General features: G+C 32.4%; 1 long non-coding RNA gene across 1 annotated transcript in view, besides 1 other annotated feature; it reads right to left on the bottom strand.

The window, feature by feature from the left end:
- Positions 1 to 1,316: 1,316 nt before the first annotated feature.
- LINC02118 (long intergenic non-protein coding RNA 2118) overlaps positions 1,317 to 25,018 on the bottom strand; it is a 35,879-nt gene continuing 12,177 nt past the window's right edge. Inside the window, exon 4 of the long non-coding RNA NR_147166.1 lies at positions 1,317 to 1,608. This is a non-coding gene — a long non-coding RNA (long intergenic non-protein coding RNA 2118). The remainder of the gene's footprint in view (positions 1,609 to 25,018) is intronic.
- Positions 12,833 to 13,367: an enhancer, noted in NCBI's record as "NANOG hESC enhancer chr5:51327693-51328227 (GRCh37/hg19 assembly coordinates)". NCBI's record gives its function as "activates a minimal SCP1, AML or CMV promoter by ChIP-STARR-seq in primed H9 embryonic stem cells {active_cell/tissue: H9 hESC(primed)}" and the evidence as "EXISTENCE:reporter gene assay evidence [ECO:0000049][PMID:30033119]".

Here is a 25,018-nt window from a genome sequence, read left to right as displayed (position 1 = left end):
ATGTTCCAAGAGCCTGAATGAATTGTAGTTTCTAATATTTAAATTAAATAAACGTTTTTACATCCCCAAATTTTGATTTTAAAAATATGATTGTGATTTGCTTATAAAGATGGCATTTCAGATTTGTATGGAGTGTACTTCCCTTGCCAATCAATAATGTGTTGACTATTCTGACAATGTAATACTGTCATAAACAGAAATGTGCTACACTCACTTATATCACTGTATCTAATATTGTTTGTAAAATGCACATTGCATATGTAAACAAGGCACTATATGTTGTAATAAGGGACATATTTACCCACTTTTGACTTGGATCTTAAGTTCTAAAATCTAATTATTTGTCCAAATCACAAGTTATTTTTACAAATGTGTAATTCTTAAAGAAAAGTGTACTCTTTAAAGAACACATTTTAGACATCCATGTTAATAAGTAGAAACATATGCATATTGAATATGCATGGTTTTAAATAAAAAGGAAAGCACTCAACAAAAATAGATTTTGTACAATGCTGATTTATGCTACCTAAATACATGTGGGGGAATTAGCACAATATAGTCTTCTGTTTATAAATAGAAATTTAAGTAATGATGTAATGGCTCACAGAATAGTTCACTTGTATTCTGGAAATATTTTGGAGAAAAGCTTTGACATGCTGCAGTAAGGTGTATAAACTATACTGCTGCTCAGGAATATTTAGAATATTTCAGATAGTAGAAATGGCATAGTCTTTGTGTATGGTGTGTCTTTAGTACAATTTAGACCACCATTTGTCCTCAAGTAGGTCTATTTAAAGTATAATTGACTGCCCTAGCAATTATTGTGAATAGCAGCTGTCTGCTGGTAAAAAGGCATATATATAATGGGGGAGAAAGGATCAAATACATGCAATAGAAAAGAAAAGCATAAAGAACATATCTATATGAGGTATTTTAGTCCAGATTTTATATTTGAAAGGGACAAGGCCTATTAGCCATTTCCAATTAAGGACTATAAAAAAATGAATGAAAGTACTCATCTATTTATGAAAAGCAGCTGGGACTCCCTAAATCCAAAACTAGCAAAAGTTTATTTGTTCTAAAATTGTTGCAGCTTACAGCATTTCATTTATTTTCATTAGCTATGTTAGGGCTTGTGAAAACCTTTCTTGTATCATGTACCTTCTGCAACACACAAAAACACCTTGCTTTGTTTTTCTCCTAAATAGCTACATAATTAGGTAGATTATTTCATGTGTCTGTGCCTGTGTTTGCTGAAGAGAACAAGCCAGATAAATTAGCACTTAGCAGAACTCACAATAGCACATAATATGTCCTTGTGTTTCATATAAAGCTTTATTTGTCATTCACGGCTGGTTGGCAAAACTGACTTTGCTTTTGAAAATGACAGGTGGTACTCTGGTGAGCTCTGTATAGAGAAAGAAACAACCTTCACCAAGACAGTTTCTGTCAATAGCTTCCGTGATTTCGTATTCAGTCTGGGCCTGTGTTTCTTCTAAAGTTCTGTTTCATTTGCATCTCTTAGGTCTGGCATCACCAAAGCTCTTTAACAATTGGGATTCTATACCACAAGGCTACAATGGCAGGCTTCCTCTCTTCTCCACAGGCCTGATTAAAAGACAGGTGAAGTTCAGTATATTTCAATAAGCCTCAACATTCCATGTCAGGAATCAATAGCCCTCCTTCTTTTTTTAGGAGTTATTAAATTGCAGCTGTAACATTAGCCTTCTTTATCTAATTGATTGTCTTTTCACAGGGCTAAGAAAATCAATAGCAGTCAATGGGACTGCCCTGTTTTTACCTAATAGATGTTTTCTCCTAATTGGCTGCCTGGGTGGCTTCACCGAGCTCAGTATGTTTTCAGAAGTCCACAGTATGTTGCAACCCTTGTAAACTATCTTACCCTGTGCAACAGTTATTGATTTTATAATGAAATCTAGAAAAATCAATAGCAATCAGGAATATAGATCGGGATTCCTAGGTACGTTATGACAAAGGGCAAACTCACTTTGCTACCACTTCAAACTGTGATTCAATTAAACTTGTCCTTAAAACATTACGTTTCCCAAAGATTTTGATCAAAGTCACTTGATTAGTTGTCCAAGACCTGGCTCAAAATCTAAGACTCAAAAGATGCTGATTTAAAAAATAACATACAAGTTTTTAATGGACTATTTCCTTACAAAATGAGATAAGTCAAAATTATTAAGGGTAAATGATACATTTTCTAGGGAAAATGTGACCTATCAAAAGTCATTGTACACAATATAGTTAACTATATTAATTCCTGAGAGTTAACAATAAAATGTATAACTTTAAGAAAAAAGATTTGGTTGACTTGCCAAATTCCTTACATTTATATGATCTCAATGAGCAACACCGCCCCAATATGGCGAAACACAGGTGTTTTCCAACTGGTCTGACATTACAGAATCTGGGTGGAATTTGCATTCCTTCTCTGAATATTATTAGATTTTTGCCTCTGAATTTAGTTTGAACACTTACCTGTATAAGTAAGACAATGTTATAAGTCTGTGTTATAATCAGACTGCAAAGTTCCTAAGAACACAACTGTTTCTATTAAAAAAAAAAAACTTCACAAATTAAAACACATAAATATTAATTATGGCTTTAAAAATGTTCAGTTTCCCTCTGGAGAGAAATAAATGGTCTCTACTCCTAACAGGCAAGGAGAATTGCTAACTTGTTATATTTATTCCTGCACATCTGCTTTGCAATTGCTGACTTCTATTGTTTCTTGCTCAGTTTTATGCAACTCTGATTTTGCAATCTCATTTTTCTTGACATCTTGAACTAGGCTGGATATATCTTTCAGATATATTCTTAGTATTCATTTTTATTCCCACTCTGGATAAAATTTTCATGTCTATTCTTAAATCCTACTGTTTTTTATTCATATTTAATAATAAACCAAAGAGTAAAAAGGCAGACATTTCTATATAAGGCCTGCAATTTTGTAAACAATTCTCCTTTTTCTTTTGTCATAATAACAAACTGGACATTGTCATATCTCAAACTAGAATCCTTGGCCGCAAAGCAGTTTCATAATACTTTCCAGATTAGCATGCATGTAGCTTAGTCTTTATCATTCTTCACTGACTTGACATGCCCTGCTAAAGAGTCATGCCATTTAATAGGCCTAACCATGATGGGGATGACAGTTCCATAGTCAGTGACAGTCAACCCATATCTGTGGAGCTGTCTCCTGCTCTAAAATCACACATTTATGGTGTATTTCGATTTGACCTCAGCTCTACCAGTTTATTCTCCATTATCTGGCATATGAATAATTAATTAAATAAATAGCACCATAAACAAACACTCTTACAAGAATAGGACTTTCACTCATACATACTATCCTGAAAGAATCCAGAATCAAGAAAATACCAAGTAAAAACCTTTTTATTTTATCAGGATTTATAGAAAGGGGGATAGGTGTTGAGGGTGGGGGAGAGCATTGATGATAATGATACCTTTCTCAAGCTTAACAGAGACAAATGTCAAAGAAAAGCACCAAAGTGTCAACCAGACATTGTCAATATCTTCTAAATGCCTCAGAAAATAAAGCTGGTTTTTCTAGTTTAAAGAGTAAATCAGGGTCCTTCCTTGCATTGCAGCGTGGACTAAATAACAGCAAAAATTGTGAAAAAAAAACCAGTTAATTTCCAATTTCCTTTCCCCTGCCCTAGGGCAGTTTTTAATACCCCTGACTTATGCATTATGGTGTGCTTTTGCTCTCCTGTCTCCTTTTTTGTAGATTCTTGGGACAGAGCATGATAAACTAATTCATGGCAAGTACGAATGACTGATAAATGTCATCTCTCCTAAGCACAGTAAGATTTAATAAGGATCAAAACCTAATGCCAAAAGTTGCATCATTAATACTGAAAGTTCAGATCTTTCATAGAAGGCTTGGTATTTTTCAGGCTCATTTTATATACAAACTATTAAGTTCTCATGGCATTTTTGAAGTAAGAACACAGTATAACTGTATTCAGAAGGTTACAACCAAGCGTAATAGAAATAAGTATACAGGAAACTAAAATACATCAGTTTTTAATGGGTTATATATATATTTATATATATAAAAATATATATAAATATATATATATGAGGTTGTTGTTTTATTGATCAAAGCTGCTTACAAATGTGTGAAGTGCTTTTTGCCTAAAATAATTTCTGACTTGGTTTTTATGCTAGTCAGGGCCTTACACATCATCAAATGTGTTAAAGTTTATGAGCCAGTAAATTAACTTTAATTACCCCAACATTCCTCCTCATTTTGATCAGTAAACAACAATGTGGATTCCTGAAGCAAAGAAAAAGCAAATTCTGCCAGATCCGATCATCAGTCTTTGCCATTAGAAGATTTTGGCTGGACCTTCTCTATTTCTTTCATTTATGCATGCAGTATTCAATAAATCAAACCTATTCCTCTTTTATCCCCAGATTGATGGGGGCCCTTTTCAAACAAAAACACTATTTTTAAACCTAAATCGAAATGGATTAAACATACATGTGGATGTGTTGTATGTATGTATACATATATGGGTATTTAGGTATATGTATATAGGTAAATATTTCACTAACTCATTGTATGCACATGTACATGCATATATTCATATAATAGTTACTTTGACTATTTAGACAAGACAAATTTTAAGGAGAAGTTTATTCCCCCTACATTTATACTGAAAAGTTAATAGCAAATACAAAAATGATATTATCAAGTTATAAAATAATGTTCACGCTACAGCCACTACTTCTCTATCTCCTACCCCTACTCCATTAACACCATTACTCTCACAATTATTGTTATAAATTCAATGTGATTAAAGTTTTAATGATAAGGATGGTGATTTCATGGCTTATTTCATTTGAAGGACTGTAGTTATCTTTTTATACATTTTCTCACATCTCAATTAACCCAACTCAAGAGACCTCTTTAGATCCCAGAACATAAAATATTTGTATCAGAGAGCAGGGGTAAATGAAGGGAAACACTCATCCTTGTTCTTTTTTTCTTCTTTGAGTGCCCTTTGTAGGATTGGAAACAAGTAAACTACATTGTAATCCAAATAATTGACACAATTTTAGTTGCTTTTTAAAAACTTCTCTACATACAAAAATGGATCATCACCCTTAAACTTTTATGGAATTGCATTTTCACATTGGAGGAGAGGAATAGTTTTAAACTAAGCAATTTTACCTTAAGCTTAAGTTGAAGTCTTATATTTCAAGTCTTGTGTGTCAGATCAGAAACACTATTTATTACTCAGCCATTTTATTTGTATTTCTAAAACAGGATGCTTATTATGCTTTTACCAGAAGCATATGAATTGGTGACTGTCACGCAGTTATTCACTAGTGCCTGCTTCACCATGTGAAAGAGCAGGCTCCAGAGTAAACAAGGTCATAGGAGGTGGCTGTAAATGGACAAGGTGCACAGCCAAGGAGATGAATGAGATGCCTTAAATGAAAAACCTTATTGCTCCTTCATAGAAGCTAAGTTAAAAACAGTGTATTCTATTTGGATTCTTTCCTCTTCTTCTGTTTCCTCCCTTCATATTCTTTGCTAGATGAAAGCCATAGGTAATTTGAAGAATATAATCATTAGAAAAACATGTTTATTATGCTGAGAACTAAGAGGAGAACCCTTAAAGAATAAACAAGAATAAGGGATTTATCTGCGATCTCTGGAAAAAAAAAAAGCTGGATAATTTAGGAACTGAGACAAAATGATGACAGTGTCGTGGCTAAATTCTAACCTCTGCAAGCTGGATTGTCACAGGTTATTGAAAAGCCTGTTGGCAATAACACAGTCTGTCTTGAGTTGGAAATAGTTACTGAATACAGGTCTCTCTTTGACAACATAATGAGCCATAATTGTTACAACACTTGGACTTCACATGAAAATTAGAGTAACCTTATGCAGTATCAATCCTGAAGTGGGTGTTCATGATTTTTAAATATTTCTTAGATTTTTGCATCCAAAAGAATTATAAATCATTTGTCTAGCTGGTGTATCAAAAGAGAACATGTTGGATCATGGCCCTTAAATGAACATAGGCAAGATATTAAAATAATAAAAATATTTTTTCCAATAAATTTCTTTATAATCTGCTTATATCACAAAGAGAACATGATTTCAAATGAAATTAATAGCTCCATTGGGATACAAGCTGTGACAAAGACACTTTTTGACACTATGTTGATGCCGTGTATATGTTGAAAATGGAACTAACACCTCCCAGAGAACTGACATTGAGAGATGTATGAGAATAACTGAAGATGAAAATCCATCCCACCTTTCATGAAAAATCATTTATTATTTTAGGGATTTGCTTCCATGTACACTAGGTTGGTGTGACATGTAAAGACAGAATTTCTCTTTAAATATGAAATAAAAATAAATGCTCTATCGAAATGAAAAAGAAAAGCCAACTCTGCTTCCAACAGGGAAAGTGACTGCCATGTAGTCTTAAACCCCCACCAGATCTATTATTCCTTGGATCTCTAGGGATTAGGACAAAGTGAAAAGAAGTGGAAAGTGCAGAAATAGTGCAGGGGGTCAGAGTAGGGCGGTACGATACTAGGGTAAAGTGAAATTCCCGATGTTCTCTTCCTTCTGAAGGGCAATCATTCTGCTTTAAAAACCTCAACAACTGATATTTTCCAGTGTGTTATTATATCTTATTATTGTTTTAATATAATTATAATGTTTAATATGTGTGATGATTTGGTGAAATATTTGATGGGAGTTCACTAGCATTATGTATTCATTCATTTAATATATACTTATAACATGCCTAAATCCCAGATACTCTTCCACATACTAGGTAAAGATCACAGTCTCCACCCTCATAAATCTTAAATTATAGAAGGTTATTGTGAAAAAGCATATTGTCATTATTAACAAAAACTCACTGTTCAATGACCATGAGCAAGTCAGTATGTCTCTTAGTCTCAGTTTTAGACTCTATGATATGTGAACTATTTTTCTACTCTACTTCAGCACATATTATTTAGATAAGTATGTATTAAGTATCTATGATATGTTAATATAACTCTATCTGGTAGTCAATCCCATCATCCACCACTTTGCCATAAGTCAGACCACTTTTCAGGTTGTTGTTATGGTATTAGTACTCTTCTGTAATCACACTTGCAAATCCCAAATTATTTGAAATTGCTCTCCATTTTCAATATCCAGAAGTCCATCAATGATCAATAACTGTTTATTTCTGTAAAATTATTTTTGTATTCCATTTTTATGGCAAACATCCTTTTCAAACATCATGAATAACTTCTTCAAAAGCCTCGAATTAGTGTCTTTAGAAATTTCAAATGATTTTTCAAGCAAGTTTTCTTTCATACTAAGCAAAATCTACCAAGCAATTGAGATATGCCTAATTACCTAAATTTTTTGTAACATGTCCTCTTTAAATAAATGAATATATTCTGTTTTGAATTTATTGATAACAGTTATTTTTATCTAATGGATATACAGATTCAGTAGAGGAAATTGGGAAAAAATCCCCTGAAATCTAGCAGAATCAAAAGTATCTATAAGAATACTGTGAATTAAAATAAATGTTCATTTTTAGTGAATGAATTCTTAGCTTAATTTTACACTTACAAGTGTAAAACTTACACTTTTTAAGTGTAAATTTTACAGTTAAAAAGTGTAAGTTTTTTGTAAAAACGGGGATTATGACATATATATGAAATGTTTAAAATGCACCCATTTAAGTAAGTAGATTGATGAATATTGAAAATTCTATATGCTTATATAACCATCATTCCAATCAATATCTAGAACATTTATATAATTTCAGGAAGCCCCCTTCTGTCATTTTTAAGTTAACACCCACTCCCAGGTTCTACCCAAGACAACAACTGATTTCCGTCACTAGAAAGTATGTTTGCCTTTTCTAGAGTTTATATAAATGAAATCATACAATATACATTCTTCTACGTCTGGCTATTTTAGCTTATAATATTTTGAGACTTATTCATATTGATGCATTTATCAATAGTTTGTTCTTTTTATTGTTAATTAGCATTCTATTATATGAATAGAACACAGTTGTTTATCCATTCACCTGTTGAAAAACATTTGCATTGAGCCAAGACTTGGTATATTTTATCTTCTAAATTTTAGCTATTCTGGCACGTGTATGTGGTTAATATACATTTTGCTGGGAACCAACGGAGTATTTTTTTGTGTTTATTGGACATTGATTCTTTTGTAAAGCATTTTTTAAAGTCTTTTGTCAATTTTTATTGCATTATCTGATTAATTTTAAGTACTATACATATATTCCAGAAGGAAGTTATTCTTTCAGAATATATGCTTTTTTTCAATTTGTGGCTAATCATTTCATCTTCTTAATAGTGTCTATTGAAGAGCAAAGGTTTTAATTTTGATGATATACAAAAATTTCCATTTTTTTGATTATTAGTTCTTTTTGTTTTCTAAGAAATGTTCTTCTACCTCATGGTTGTGCAGATTTTCTCCTATGTTTTCCTCTAGAAACTTTGTACTTTCTGCTTTATATTTAGTTATATGATTTATTTCAAAACTATTTACTTTTGCATATGGTGTGAGGGAGGGGCTGAGGTTCATCATTTTATTCCATACTAATATCTAGTTGTTCCAGTACAATTTGTGAAGAAGAAGACTTTCCTCATTGATTTTGACATGTCCCTTCAACAAAAATTAATTGACAACATGTCATATCCCTTGAATTCTCTACTCTGTCCCACTGATCTGTTTTTTTTTTTTTAAATAGTTGGTTATTTGCTGTCTTTTGAATGTCTATATATGTTTCAGAATCCGCATGTCAATTTAGAAAATTTTATTTTATTTTTTTATTATACTTTAAGTTCTAGAGTACATGTGCACAACGTGAAGGTTTGTTACATATGTATACATGTGCCATGTTGGTGTGCTGCACCCAATTAACTTGTCATTTACATTATGTATTTCTCCTAATGCTATCCCTCCCCCTCCCTCCACCCCACAATTTAGAAAATTTTAAAAAGCAACATGGGAACTTGGTTGAGATTTATTTTATTTTGCATATCAATTTCCAGAAAATTTGTACTTTAATAATATGGGGTTTTTCTAATCCATGAACACAATGTATTCCTCCATTTATTTAGATCTTCTTTATTTCTCCTACCAATATTTTCTATTTTTTAGTGTAGATGTTTGCACATAAATTTTTATATTAATTCCTACTTAATATTCTCAAAACTACTGTAAATTTTAAAATTTATCTTCAAAGTTTTGTTTTCAAGTTATAGAAATGCAATTGATTTTTGTATACTGAGCTTATATCCATTGACATTGCCAAATACCTTTATTAAATTTAGTAGTTTTTTAAATAGATTCCTTAAGATTTTCAACATAGACAATCATGTTATCTACAAATAGGGACAAATTAGAATGCTAGTTTTTCAAACTTTAATTGTTTGCTTTTATCATTATTTTTCAATGACGCACAATATTTATACATATTTATAGGGTACAGCGTGATAGTTAGAAACATAAATATAATATGCAATGATCAAATCAGGCTGATTAGCATATACATCACCTCAAACTTCTATCATTTATTTGTGTTGGGAACATTCAAAATCTGCTCTTCTATTTGAAAATATACAATAAATTGTTAATTATAGTCACTCTTTAGTGCTGCAGAAGATTAGAACTTATTCCTCCTATCTTACTGTACTTTATTATCTGTTAACCACACTTCATCTTTCCCTCCTCCATCGCTTTCCCTGCCTCTAGTAACCACTAGTCTACTCTCTACTTCCGTGAGATCAACTTTTTAGCTTCCACGTATGAATGAGAACATGTGGTATTTACCTTTCTGTGCCTGTTTTATTTCACTTAGCATACTGCCTACCAAGCTCATCCATGTTGCCAAGAAGGATATAATTTTATTCTTGTATGGAATAATAGTATTCTATTGTGTAAATATAACATGTTTTCTTTATCCATTTACCTGTGGATAGACACTTGGGTTGATTCCATATCTTGGCTATTGTGAATAGTGTAGACACTGCTTCAATATACTGATCTCCTTTCCTCTGGATATGTACTCAGGAAGGAGATTGCAGGAATATATGGCAGTTCTATATTTACTTTTTTATTTTTCTTTATTGCAACAGTTTAAACCTTCAGTACAATATGTAATGGAAATGTGAACAAACATCCTTGCCTTGTTCCCAACTACTGGGGCTAGATTTATAATTTCAATGTTAATTATGTAGTTTTCATAGATTCTTTTTATCAGTTTGAAAAAAAAAACCCTTCTTTTTTTGATTTGCTGAGTTATAAACAAGTGTTCAAATTTGTCAAATAATTTTCATGTGTCTTTTGAAATGAACACATTCTTCAATAAATGTGATGGAGTATATTGATTGATCTTAAATGCTAAGCAAACTTCTGTAGAATAAGTCTTACTTGCTTATGATCCATGATACTTTTCTATCTATGCTGGATTCCATTTTCTAATGTTTTCTTAAGGACTTTGTTTCTAGGATTATTAGAAATATTTGTCTCTATTTTTTTTTCCTGTTTTGGCTTTGCCAGATTTTGGTATCAAGGATATGGCAGAATCATAAAATTACTTTTGATTTTGATTTTCTTCTTAAATAGAATTATCTGGTGAAGTTAGCTTAGTGTAGAGTTTTTATGGGAAGATTTTTTATTATTAATTGTATTGTTTTAATAAATATCAAAGGTTTGGTTAAATTACCTAGTTTTTCTCCAATCAGCTTTGGAAAATTATACTTCTCAAGGATTTTGGCCTTTTCATCTTTGTTTGCAAAAATTGTTCATAACATTTTCTCATTACTCTTTTTGTGCCTGTCAGATCTCTAATGATATTTTCTCATTTATTTTTGATATAGGTAATTTATATTTTCTCTTGTTTTTCCCTTCATTGGTCTTTCTAGGGTCTTTATCAGCTTTTGCTTTGTTAATTTTATTTATTATCTGTTTTCTATTTCATTGCTTTCTGCCTTGTAATTATTTCTTTCCTTCTACTTCCATTGGGTTTAATTTTAATTTTCCTTTTTGTGACTGTGTTCTTCCTTCCCCTCTTTTTTAAAAATAATTTTCAATTGTTTCTCCAGAGCTAATCATATGCATCCCTAGCTTCCTAGAATTTATATAGAGTAAATCTTATCTTCCTTCACACTTCACTTCTGGCCCGTCTACCTGCCTGCTTCATGCTTCTCAGTTCTCAATGCCGACTTGACATTGCCCATTGTCCAAATGTAACAAATTTAGTGTCGGTCTAATGACAACGATTTTTCTCTTAACATTTGTTCATCAAAAAATGTTTTTTTCTTTCTCATTTTGAAAGATACTTTCTCTACATACAAGATTTTAGGTGACATTTTTAGCATGGTTTTTAGCAGTTAGACTAAGAATTGCTTAAGTATGGTTTTCTTTCTACTTTATGTTTTAGGGTTTTGCTGAAATCTTGAGTCAATCAGTTAATATTTTCGTCAAATTTGGAAAGAATTTGGGCCATTATTTATTCAAAATGTTTAGCTCAGTTTTTTATTCTTTTCACTATTGAGACTTTTAAAAACTTATGTTTTGACTCTTTTTGTATCTTAAGTGTCTGTTCATTTTTCTTCAATCTCTTTTATCTGTTTTTCAGATTAGAGTATTTCTATTGATCTTTTGTAAAGTTTAGTGACTCTTCCATCTGCTTTCTTCAATCTCCTGTTAAGCACTTTCAGTGATTTGTTTTTTCATTTCTGTCTTATAATTTTCAGTTCTGAAATTTCCTTTTGAGTCGTTTTACACAATATCTTTGCTGATATTCCCTGTTCCTCCCTAAGACCATATATTCCTTTAATTTTCTGAACATTTTATCCCTTATTTCTTTAAACATATTTATAATAGCCTCTTTAAAGACTTTTGTTGCTAAATCCAACGTCTGGGCTATCTCAATGTTGATTGCTACTGAATATTGCTATGAATATATATATATTTTTGATTCTAGGTCACATTTTCCTGTTTCTTTCCATGTGTTACTTACTTCACATTATACTTTGTTAATGACGTGTTTAGAAATTCTAGTTCTATTTTGTTCATCTGAAGGAATTTTTTTGCAATTGTCGGCCTATCTACAACTGACGATCATCTTGAACTGACTGCAGCCTAATTATGTTTTTTTTTAGGGCAATTCTATAGACATCTAAGTTTTCTCAAGTCCCTCTCACTTGAGGAACTAGATGTCCAGAATCTGTTTCCCCAAAGATTTTTCCAGAATTTGATTTTAGACTTAGTTAGAGAAGAGGTAGACTAGGCCTTACCTGAACATATTGTCTTTACTCTTTAATTCATAGCCTTTCTGGTTCCTAAGCTGAAGGCCCAGATTTTTCACAGTGTGTTAACCTAACAATGTATGCACACTGCATGCGCCTGAACTGCAAAGATTCCTAGCATTATTTAATCTGTAATACCTCTGTGCTATTCTGTTCCCAAGCCCATAGGAGACACTTTCTGTTAAGTCTTATGCAGTTTAGCGCTGCTTTTGGCCAACGACTCAGAGAAATTTTCTGATGCTTTTCTCTTCACAGATCTCTACCATCTAGAGCCTTGCCCAGCCTCTTAACCTACTTCAAACTCTTGAGGTGTGTTTAGGCTCTACTTTGTTGTGACATGGCCAAGAGATTGTTCCCTGGAGGAGTCTTGAGGATCATAGTCTTGTTCTTTCTTTTCCAGTATATTGAAGCAGATACCTCATGTAGTTAATCAATGTTATACTTTTCAGTAGGAGAGCGAGTCCCATAATAGTTACTGTCATAGGTCAAAACAAAAGTCTATATTTACTATTTGAACATTTTCTACTTGTCAAGAGATAATGACTATTTTATCCATGGCAACATGATTTTTTAAAGTTTGCCTACTATTCTATTGCAAAGGTGAACTCATTTATATATTTCCTCTATGTTTGGGTATGTAGGTTAAATCTAGTAATTTTGAGTGTTTTCTAAGTGCCATGCATTGAAACAAGTGTTTTACAGACACAAAAGCATGTAATCGTCACAACAAACCTGTGAAGTACAAGTATAATAGCATTCTTAACATTCCAGATGAGAAAACAAAAGCATGGAGAATTAAAATAATTTACTCAAAATCATCAAACTAGTAAAGTGAAGCTAACATTTAAGCTCAATTACAATATACAGTTTAACTCTTATATGTTCAACTATTAAGCTCCACAATCATTTTGGTAGATAAAAATAATCTCTCACATTTAATTAATAATTTATTAATGTTTAAAATTTTTTATAGTTTAACTGGCCCTAAGTGTTTCAAATTTTATGACTTAGATGTTTGTCTCATTTGATCAATGTTCCCTGGGATGTTCATATTTTATTTGTTTCTATGAGTTCTTTATATGTAAAATATTCACCTACTAATCATTTCTTATTTGCTTGTATACTATTTCTTCTTTTGGGGAAAAAAATGATCATATTGTGAAATTACATAAATAGTCACCAGCATATTTTTAGGGTATTTTTGTTTGATTGATTGATTTAATTTTTAATCTTTCTCCCCTCCCCCCAACCCCACATTTTTAGTTGATTTAATGTGATAACAATTGCATTTATAAACCATTTAAATATTTGTAGGTATGTTTCTAAGCTTTCTATTTTGTGTGATTGATTTGGCTATGTTAAGTCTTTAGTGTATTGTAGTACATTTTTTGATTTTTGTATTAATACATCATAATATCTGAAAGTAAATGTCCCTTTTCAGTAATTTTTGTCAAATCTTTGATTATTTTTGTCTTTTTCACATTTCATTTGAATCTGAGGATAAGTTTGTCAAAGTATCTGTATATATGTCTGGGCATTTCTTTATATTGTGTTTCATGTTTACATTTCTTGTTAAAGAATTAGCCTTTTAATTTCTCAGAGGAGAAAACATGCATTTCTTCATATACAGTATTCAATATGTTTTAAATTTTATTTATACATATCTGCCATTTTTATTAAGGTTATTCTCTAGTTAATATTTTTGATAGCTAAGATGAATGTGATTTTCTTCATTTTCACTTTTTACAGATAACTAATAGCGTGATGAAAAGTTATTTCATTTAGGATTTTAGTGATATAGCTAGTCAATTTACTGAGGACTCAATTTTTCTTTTAAATTTTAAGTTGATTGTCTTGAATGTAATACAATATATAATATTCCTAAATGAAACAGATTATATTTATAAATGTATTTTTAGCAGACACTCTATTTTTCTTACAAATGTGCAGTGGCTAAAACTTAGAAACATGTTTAATTACAGTTGTGGTAGAAGGCATGATTGTCTAATACAGTCATGTGTCACACAACAACATTTTGGTCAAGGACAGACCCCATATACAATGATGATCCCTTAAGATTATAATGAAGCCAAAAATTCCTATTGTCTAGTTATATCTTGATGATTAACTCTGTGTAGGCCTAGGCTAATTTGTGTGTTTAAGTCTTCATTTATTTCACGTTTAAAAAGTAAAACAAAAAAAAACTTTTGAAGCAGTTAAAAACTTTTATAATTAGGATATAAAGAAAAATATTATATTTGTACAGCTGACCAATGTGTTTGTTTTTTAAGCCAAGTATTATTATTAAAAAGTTAAAAAATTAAAAATTTTAATATAAAAAGTTACAGTAAGCTAAGATTAATTTAATATTGAAGAAAGAAAACTTTTATAAATTTAGTGTAGCCTAAGTATATAGCATTTATGAAGTCTACAGTACTATAAAGTAATGCCCTAGGCCTTCACATTCACTCACGACTTACTTACTCACCCAGAGAAACTCACAGTCCTGTAAGCTTCATTCATGGTAAATGCCCTACATAGACATACCATTTTTTAAAATCTTTTTTTTTTTTTGAGAAGGAGTCTCACTCTGTCGCCCAGGCTGGAGTGCAGTGGCACGATCTCAGCTCACTGCAACTTCCGCCTCCCAGGTTCAGGTGATTCTCCTGCCTCAGCCTCCCAAGTAGCTGAGACTACAGGCCCATGCCACCACGCCTGGCTAATTTTTTGTATTTTTTTAGTACAGATGGGGTTTCACCATGTTGGCCAAGCTGGTCTTGAACTTCTGACCTCAGGTGATCCGCCTGCCTCGGCCTCCCAAAGTGCTGACATTATAGGCCTGAGCCACCGCACCTGGCCTCGAAAAATCTTTTGAGTCATATTTTTACTGTACCTTTTCTATGTTTAAAATACTTACCATTGTATGACAATTGCCTACAGTATTCAGTACAGTAACATGTTGTACAGGTTTGTAACCTAGAATCAATAAGCTGTACCATATAGTTTGGGCATGTAGTAGGTTCTACCATCTAGGCTTGTGTAATACACTCTATGATAGTCACACAATAGCCAAATCCCATGATGACACATTTCTCAGACTGTAACCTTGTCACGTAGTGATGCATGACTGTATTTGATTTTAGTAAGCATGTTGCTAAAGTCATATTTATAAAGACAATGTAGGCTGGTAGTTTAAAACATAGTATTTACCAGGTTAAAAGTATATACCCAAAGGATTATAAATCATTCTACTATAAAGACACATGCACACGTATGTTTATTGCAGCACTATTCACAATAGCAAAGACTTGGAACCAACCCAAATGTCCATAATGATAGACTGGATAAAGAAAATGTGGCACATATACACTATGGAATACTATGCAGTCATAAAAAGGATGAGTTCATGTCCCTTGCAGGGACAAGGATGAAGCTGGAAGCCATCATTCTCAACAAACTAACACAAGAACAGAAAACCAAATACGGCATGTTCTCACTCATAATTGGGAGCTGAACAATAAGAACACGTGGACACAGGGAGGAGAGCATCACACAGCAGGGCTTGTCGGGGGGTGGGGTACTAGGGGAGGGATAGCATTAGGAGAAATACCTAATGTAAGTGACAGGTTGATGGGTGCAGCAAACCACCATGGCACATGTATACCTATGTAACAAAACGGCACGTTCGGCACATATACCCCAGAACTTGAAGTATAATTAAAAAAGTGTATTTTTATATATATATATATATATATATATTTATTTATATATATATATATATATATTTATTTATATATATATATTTTTATATATATATATATTTTTATATATATATATATTCTTCTCTATCTAGTTTCTATCATAATGATACATGAAACTTACTCAAATTCATTTCAGCATCTATTTGGGTGGTCTCATAGATTGACATCTTCTATTTTATGGTGTGGTTAATTTTATTAAAACATATGTTGGGCATTCTCAATGTAAACATTAAAGCTTAAAATATCCAAAATTTTTAAACAAAAATAAAATAATTTTATTTTTATTAAACTAATGAGTGTAATATAATGAAATATTATAAAATTAAATTACACATTGAAAAAGTCCCCTTCATATTTTAAGTATATCACTCTATGTTGTAAGTATATTCTTTTACTCTTTGTCGTTTATATTTTCTTTGTCAATGTGCTTTTTATTATATTAGTTGTTTAGTCTTTCACAATGTTTTACCTTTTACCAAAAATTATATCAAAGTGCATTTATCAATTTGTAGTATTGTCCTTAACCTGCTTTTTAATTTATACATCTTTTACTCCTGCTTCATTTGGGTTTATTTTGCTGCTCCCTTTCAAAGTTCTTTAGATGGATGTTTAATTATTATTTTATTTTAATGTATTTTTACTTGATAAAATATCACATTTGTGTCTTACAATAACTTTGTATCTAGCTCATAGATTTTATGTGGCCTTATTAGTTTTTATGTGTATTTTTTATTTGATGAAAAATGCTTGAAAGTAGACCTAACTATGAGAAGTTTTCTCTTAAAATTCATATAACTTGTCATTTTTGTTCATCTTCTTAATTCTTAATTTTATGTCACTAGTGCCCACCTAAGTATCTTGTAAATTTTGCTATTTGATTTTTGTGGCTTATTACATGCTCAATTTCTATAAATGTACGATGAGCATTAGCAGCAAAATTATACTTTCTGCTTGAAGGACATTTCATTCAAGTCACATACCTGAAATTTCAGCATGTTAATTAAGTTAATTAAATCTATTATAATTTTATTTATTGTTTTACTGCTTGATCTGTCAATAACTAAGAGAGCTCTAATAAAGTATTGAAGTATTACTGTTTCTATTATTTTCTTAATTATTTTTTTTCTTTTGCTTTCTATACTTTGCTGCTAGATTATTTAGGAAGATTGTGTGGGTAGTATAGCTTTCTGTACTTGAATAGTAGGAAATGTTATCTTCACATGGAAATGATTATTTGTCTAAGAGTAAGCTTATCAGTTTACAAATTTTCAGTTTGCACATGACCAAAATTTGTAGTCTTCTGATCTTTGCTGTTTTAAGTAGTAATTGATTTATCCATTAGGATGATAGATTACTCTTGTAATTTAATGTGTTTTTCACACTATGGAGACATTTTAATATTTCTGTGAGTATTATAACCATATTTCCAATTTCACCTCCCTCTTCAACCATATAGACCTCAAACTGCTCTTCACCTGTGACCCTGCAGGAAAGCCCTGTATTTGTTGCTCTACTCAGATCTGATCACAATTGCATGGAATTCCTAATGTAGCCAATCCCTCTAAGTCAAAGTTGATCTCACTGTTATCTGTGCAACACATAAATGAGTACAAAGAAGAAGAAATTTAGTGTTTTTTATTTTCTTTTTTTGTTTGTTTGTTATTTAACTTTTATTTTAGGTTCAGGGGTACCTGTGCACATTTGTTACGTAGGTAAATTGTGTTCACAGGGATTTGGTGTACAGATTATTTCATCATGCAAGTAATAAGCCTAGTATCTGATATGTAGTTTTTTGATCTTGAGCCTCCTACGAACCTCCACCCTGAACTAGGCCCGTGTGTCTGTTGTTCCCTTCCTTGTGTCCATGTGTACTCAATGTTTAGCTCCCACTTATAAGTGAGAACATGTCGTATTTGTTTTTCTGTTCCTGTATTAGTTTGCTTAGGGTTATGGCCTCCAGTTCCATCCATGTTGCTGCAAAGAACAAGAGCTATTTTTTATTATTGCTGTGTAGTATTCCATAGTGTATATGTACCACATTTTCTTTATCCGGTCTATCATCCATGGGCATCTTGATTGATTTCAGGACTTTGCAATTATGAGTAGTGCTGTGATTAACATAAGCATGCATGTGTTTTTATGGTAGAAAAATTATACTTCTTTGGTTATATACCCAGTAATGGGATTGCTGGGGTAAATGGTAGTTCTGTTTTAAGTTCTTTGAGAAGTTGCCAAATTGCTTTCCACAATGGCTGAACTACTTTACATTTTCATCAGCAATGCATAAGCGTTCCCTTTTTCCTGCAACCTCACCAGCATCTGTCATTTTTTGACTTTTTAATGATAGCCATTCTGACAGGTGTGAGATGGGATCTCATTGTGGTTTTGATTTGCATTTCTCTAATGATTGGTGATGTTGAGAATGTTTTTATGCTTGTTGACCATGTGTATGTCTTCTTTTCAAAAGTATCTTTTCATGTTCTTTGTACAATTTTTATGAGGTTCTTTGGTTTTTGCTAGTTATTTTGTTCAAATTCCTTATAGATATTAGACCTTTGTCAGCTGCATAGTTTGCAATTTTTTTTTCCTATTCTGTAGGTTGTCTGTGACTCTGTTGACAGCTTCTTTGGCTGTCCAGAAACTCTTTAGTTTACTTAGGTCCCATTTGTCAATTTTTTTGTTATTGTTGTAATTGCTTTTGGCATCTTTGTCATGAAATCTTTGCCAGGGCCTATGTCCAGAATAGTATTGCCTAAGTTATCTTCCAGGGTTTTTATAGTTTTTGGTTTTAGATTTTAGTCTAATTAACCCATATTGAGTTGATTTTTGTATATGGTGTAAGGAAAATTTCTAGCTTTAATCTTCTGTATTTGGCTAGCCGGTTATCCCAGGACCAATTATTGAACAGGGAGTTCTTTCCCCATTGTTTGTTTTTGTCCACTTTTTGAAGATCAAATGGTCACAGGTGTGTGGCTTTATGTATGAGCTCTCTATTCTGTTCCACTAGTCTGTGTGTCTGTTTCTGTACCAGTACCATGTTGTTTGGCTTACTATAGTCTTGTAGTATATTTTGAGGCTGGGTAGTGTGATGCCTCCAGCTTTTCTTTTTTTGCTTAAGATTGCCTGGCTATTTGAGTTTTTCTTGTTCCATATGAATTTTAAGATATTTTTCTAATTCTGTGAAGAATGTCATTGATGATTTGATAGGAATAGCATTGAATCTGTAAGTTGCGTTGGGCAGTATGACCATTTTAACAATATTGATTCTTCATATCCGTGAGCATGAAATGTTTTTTCCATTTGTTTGTGTCATATCTGGTTTCTTTGAGCAATGTTTTATGATTCTCATTGTACAGATCTTTCATTTCCCTATTTAACTGTGTTCCTAGGGATTTTATTATCTTTGTGGCTATTGTGAATGGGGTTGTAATCTTGATTTGGCTCTCTGCTTAGATGTTTTTGGTGTTTAGAAATGCTGCTGATTTTTGTACAGTGATTTTTGTATCCTAACACTTTGCTGAAGTTGTTTATCAAATCCAGGAGATTTTGGGCAGAAACTACGAGGTTTCCTAGGTATACAGTCATAGTGTATGAAAACAGAAATATTTTGACCTCCTCTCTTCCTGTTTGGATAATTTTTATTTCTTTCTCTTGCCTAATTGTTCTGGCTAGGACTTTCAGTACTTTGCTGAATAGGAGTGATGAGAGTGGGCATCCTTTTCTTGTTCCATTTCTCAACAGGAATGCTTTCAGTTTTTGCCCGCTCAGTATGATGTTGGCTGTGAGTTTATCATAGATGGCTCTTGTTATTTTGAGGTGTTTCTTCAATGTCCAGTTTGTTGGGGATTTTTAACATGAAGGGATGTTGAATTTTAGTGAAAGCCTTTTCTGCATCTATTGAGATGGCCATGTGAATTTTGGTTTAAGTTCTGTTTATGTGTTGAATCACACTTATTAATTTGCATATATAAACCAGTCTTGCATTCCAGGGATAAAGCCCACTTGATTGTGGTAGGTTAGCTTTTTCATGTGCTGCTGGATTTGGTTTACTAGTATTTTGTTGAGGGTTTTTTTTTCTATGTTCATTAAGGATTTTGGCCTTAGACATGCACCATTGTGTTGATTAATTTTGTGTCAACTTGACTAGATTCAGTGATACCTAGTTAATTAGTAAAGCAGTACTTCTGGTTATGTCTGTAAGAGTGTCTCCAGAAGAGACTGGCATTTGAATCAGTGGACTGAATAAAAAAGATGTCCTCTCACCCAGTGTGGGTGGCCATCAAGAAACTGGCTGAGGACTCAAATAGAACAAAAGGACAGAGGAAAGACAAATTCACATTCTCTCTCTGTCTTCTGGAATTGACACTCTTCTTCCCCTGCTCTCGGACTTTAGAACTCCACGTTCTCTGGCCTTTGGACTACAGAACTCATACCAGCAGCACCAGTTTCTCAGACTTTCAACTCAGGCTTCTTTCCCTGCTCTTGGACATTAGAACTCCAGGTTCTCTGGCCTTTGGACTCAGGAATTCGCACCAGCAGCCCCAGTTTCTCAGACTTTCAACTCAGACTGAAAGTAACACCATCAGCTTCCCTGACTCTGAGGCCTTTGAACTTGGACTGAGTCATGCTTCTGGCTTCCCTGGTTCTCCAGCTTGCAGACAGCCTATGATGGAACTTCTCAGCCTCCATAATAACATGAGCCAATTCCCCTAATAAATGCTTTCTCATAGATCTATTTCTATATATATATATATATATATGTCCTATTGGTTCTATTTCTCTAGATAATTCTAATATAACCAGCATAGATAAATAATATGCTAAATAATTAATTTTGTTGGGTCTCCACAACTGGGGACTGGTTGCTTTTGAATAAAGGAGTATATTATGTTTGGAAGTCACATTTACTATTCCCAGGAAGAACGATCTTGTTAGAATATAGTAAAACACTCCAAAAATAATTTATGCCCTCTTGGTACCAAAAGGCTGTATTAAGGACCAATTTTTTAAAATGTATATGGTAGACAATAATAGGCCCTTAATGGGCCCAATGAAAAATCAAACATGAAACAAACTAACAATGATATAAGTGGAAAGTAAAGATATTAGGAACCCCCTTGAGTGATGACATTGTTCATTTTCCAACCTGAAGGTACAAAGGACAAAGATCGCTTTGATCTTTTCTTTCTGACTTGGAGAGTTTTTTCTCTCCATTCAGGTTGCTTTCCTCATTTAACTTCAGGCTCGGCTTCATGAGGAACAAAGGAAGAACCAGAAAACTGCTCCTGCTCCCCAGTCTCCATGCCTGGTGTATTTTACATGCACCACTTTGACATGACTTGATAACAAACCAAAGGAAAAATATCTTAATGAGAAACCTTGTGAATTTTAACAATTTTCAATGTAGGACCAGCCCATTATTGTTAGTCCTACATTAGAGCATTTTAAAATGTGATTTAGAATATTATTATTTTATATTTGCAATGTTTATAGATTTCTGATATGTACAAAACTATGTGACACGGTTGGTATTAGTTTTATTTCTGCTACCACAAAGAGAAGTTATCGCTATCAGTTTTGTATCATAACTCTGTAATTTCAAATATAATAGGCTGACCATTTGCAAACCATGTTTTATGGAGTCTACTGAAGGTTTACTGTTTGAGGTTCATGACAAGTTTTACAAATTTTGAATGAAGATATTTCTAAAGGGAGGATTTAAAATACTGGTGGTATACTAATATTTAATCTATTTTTTTCTTCTCTACAAATTACATTTTCATTTATTTTTACCAAGTAGTTGAACATGAAAGATTAAGCATAATATTCAACCTGAAGTAGACAAAATAATGCCTGCCCTCTCCCCACAAAAGATATCCACATCCTAATCCATGGAACCTGACAATATGTTACCTTACATGTCAGAAAGGATATGGCTAATGTAATTAAATTGAAGACTTAAAAAGGGAGGATTATCCTCGATTATCTGGTGGGCTCAGTATAATGATTTTAAGTCTTTAAAAGGAAAGAACCTTTCCCAGTTGTGGTCAGAGGAAGATGTGGCTATGGAAGAGTGGTTGGAGAGATACAATAATGTTGCTGGCTTTGCAGAAAGAGGAAGTAGGACATGAGCCAAAGAATGTGGGGAGCTCCTATAAATTTGCAGTGGAAAGGAAATGGATTCTCCTTCAGGATTTCCAGAAAGAAAGGCAGTCCTGTGCACAACTTGAACTTAGCTTAGTGAGACCTATGTTGAGCTTCTGACCTGGAAAACTATAAAAAAAAACTTGCAGTGCTTAGGCCAGTAAGTTTGGGGTAATTGGTTATAGCAGCAATGAAAACTAAATACATCACTATCAATAGAAAGTTTATCACATTTATTTAATAACTGCTCAATTTATATCTCTAATATTACCACATATTAAAATATTTTAATACTAATATTTTAATCTCCTTTCAACACTCATTTTCTACATAAGGATAAAAGGTTCTACATATAAAGGACCCAGTTTGGTTCAGAAATAATTCAGGTGAAAACACATGGTATTCAGGAGAAAGTGTTTCCTTGGTTGATAAGTGCTGTGGCTGAAATATTGCTGATCATATTGATAGACATGAATCCCTGCATAATGCAATAGTAAATACTAGATGTAAAGGGAATTTTCAGTGCCTGGTAAGTAGGCACTGAGAATAATGACTTGAAACATGCATGCAATTGCCACTTTAGTACAACCTGCTACATGGCATAGGATAAGATAGTCAAGTTTAAAAAAAAAAGTAAATATAAAAATAAACCATCCATGTTTTAACCCAAATGACATTTCAATAGGAAAGCCTTTCCCAATCCCTCCAACTAGATTAGGAACCCCGTTACATATTTCTAAATCATTTGGTACTTATTAAGCATATTTCTCAAAACTTCTACTTATTTGATTACATTTATCTTCTGTGACAGAATGTAAGTCCCATGAAGGCAGAGATAGCATTTGCCTTGCTTACAGTTGTATCCCCAGCATCTACTGTAGAATGGCATATAGAATGCACTCACTAAAAGACTTTAGTCTAATAGATTGACTGAGTCAAAAGACAGGGTTTCTAGTGCTGGCTCTATCAAAACATACATACATGAACTTTGGCAATACGATTGATTTTCTAAGCCAGTTTTCTGGTCAAGAAAATTACAGGGATTTGAAATGTTGAACATATTAATTCTTACTTATGTTTTATGTATAAATATATGTTTATCATGTAATTATACAATTATAATTTTAATATATAACTATGGCACTCAGTTCATAAAACCAATAGTATAAAAGTAAACATATTGAGAACTCAGAAATTTTAGGGCCTGACTTTTATAATTTTTTTCTAAATGCAAAGGTAATGCAGTTTGTTATAAAAATATTAACTGAATATAAAATTGAAAATATTTCTCACTCTCCATCTTTACTTTTTATAGATAAATATTATTAATTATAGTTTCTGTTACAGCCTTCATGAACAATCTCTTTGGATGACATTCTCAGAGAAAAATACTATAAGAAAATTCAAAAGACAATTTTTTCCTAGCAATTTGGAACTTTTTAAAAAGCTATAGATCATCTAGCTTAAAGATTTATGATTTCTTGTGTTTTGTGGTAAACATTTTGTGGTAAATTATACACTTTGGTAAGCTCTCTGTCACCAAATTTCTTTCTTCTTAAATGTGCATAGTATATAATATTAAACATTTAAATAACTATCTTTAATCTTTCGAGATTACTGCAAGTATAATATATGCAAAGTATATTCAATCAGTGGATGAGAGCAATGCAAGGTAAATGTGGCCCTGGATGACTACCTTGATGCATCAAAAATGGTGGCAGCTGAAAGCTGTCAGCTAAATTTGCTTTCTGCAGAAGGTTCTTTTGAGGGGAATTCTGAGCATGGAACATTTGTGGTTGCTTCATCCTAGGAAAATCCTTTTCAGAAATATATTGACTGGCAACATTCTGGATTGAGAATATAAACATATTTATTAACATTAACATGTAAGTTGTAAATAGTTCCTTTAAAATTCTATTTTAAGTATTTGAGTAATTTAAAACAATAATAAAAGCATGACACAAAAGTTGCAAAGAATATTTAAACATTGCCAACAATCTCCAATTTCATCTCAGGCAGAGAGCACTTTTTTCTCTCTGCCCAGCTACCAGTTCTTCTTTAGAGACTATTCTATCTTTCCTCGAGTCTTCATCTAGCTACTCCATTTACCTTGAAAACACATTTTCCCAACTCTTCCACACTGACATGACCCCCCAGGGTTGTATCACTCTCTCCTCCTTTGTTAGCTTTCATTCTGCAAAAAGTTACTACAAATGAAAAACAAAGTCAAATTCTAATACAATTCAAACATAAATATGAATGCAATAATGGAAAATGTTTTGCTGAAACCAATTACATAAGCACTTTGCAAAGGAATATTGTCACTGCAGTTTCCTTTCATCACTATTTTATAGTGAGTCCTATGCTGCTTTAATTCCTCCCACCCTGACTCTGGTCTATTTGATTTTTTGTGAAACTTTCATTTGCAGTGTTGGGTTGTTGTTTGGCCTTAATCCCTCATGTATACCACTCATCTCAGGTCTTTACTTTAGAGCCTGTGGTTATTAAAGAGTACTGATAAATTCCAATTTGATTAAAAATAAAATTGTTAATACAAACACTGACATCTGTTATAAGGTCACTAGCTGAATGATCTAGAATATGTTTACATATTTTAGTATTATCATTAATATTAAATAGATACAATGATTATAAATATATAAATAAAAATCTATAGCTATCTAATCATAATAATAGCATTACCTTACCGACTTCCCTCATGTTTTGCC

Source organism: Homo sapiens, chromosome 5, assembly GCF_000001405.40.
Source record: "Homo sapiens chromosome 5, GRCh38.p14 Primary Assembly".
In the NCBI taxonomy this organism is placed as follows: Eukaryota; Metazoa; Chordata; class Mammalia; order Primates; family Hominidae; genus Homo; species Homo sapiens.
Note: the sequence above shows the minus strand (reverse complement) of the source record. Positions and strands in the feature narration are given on the sequence as shown.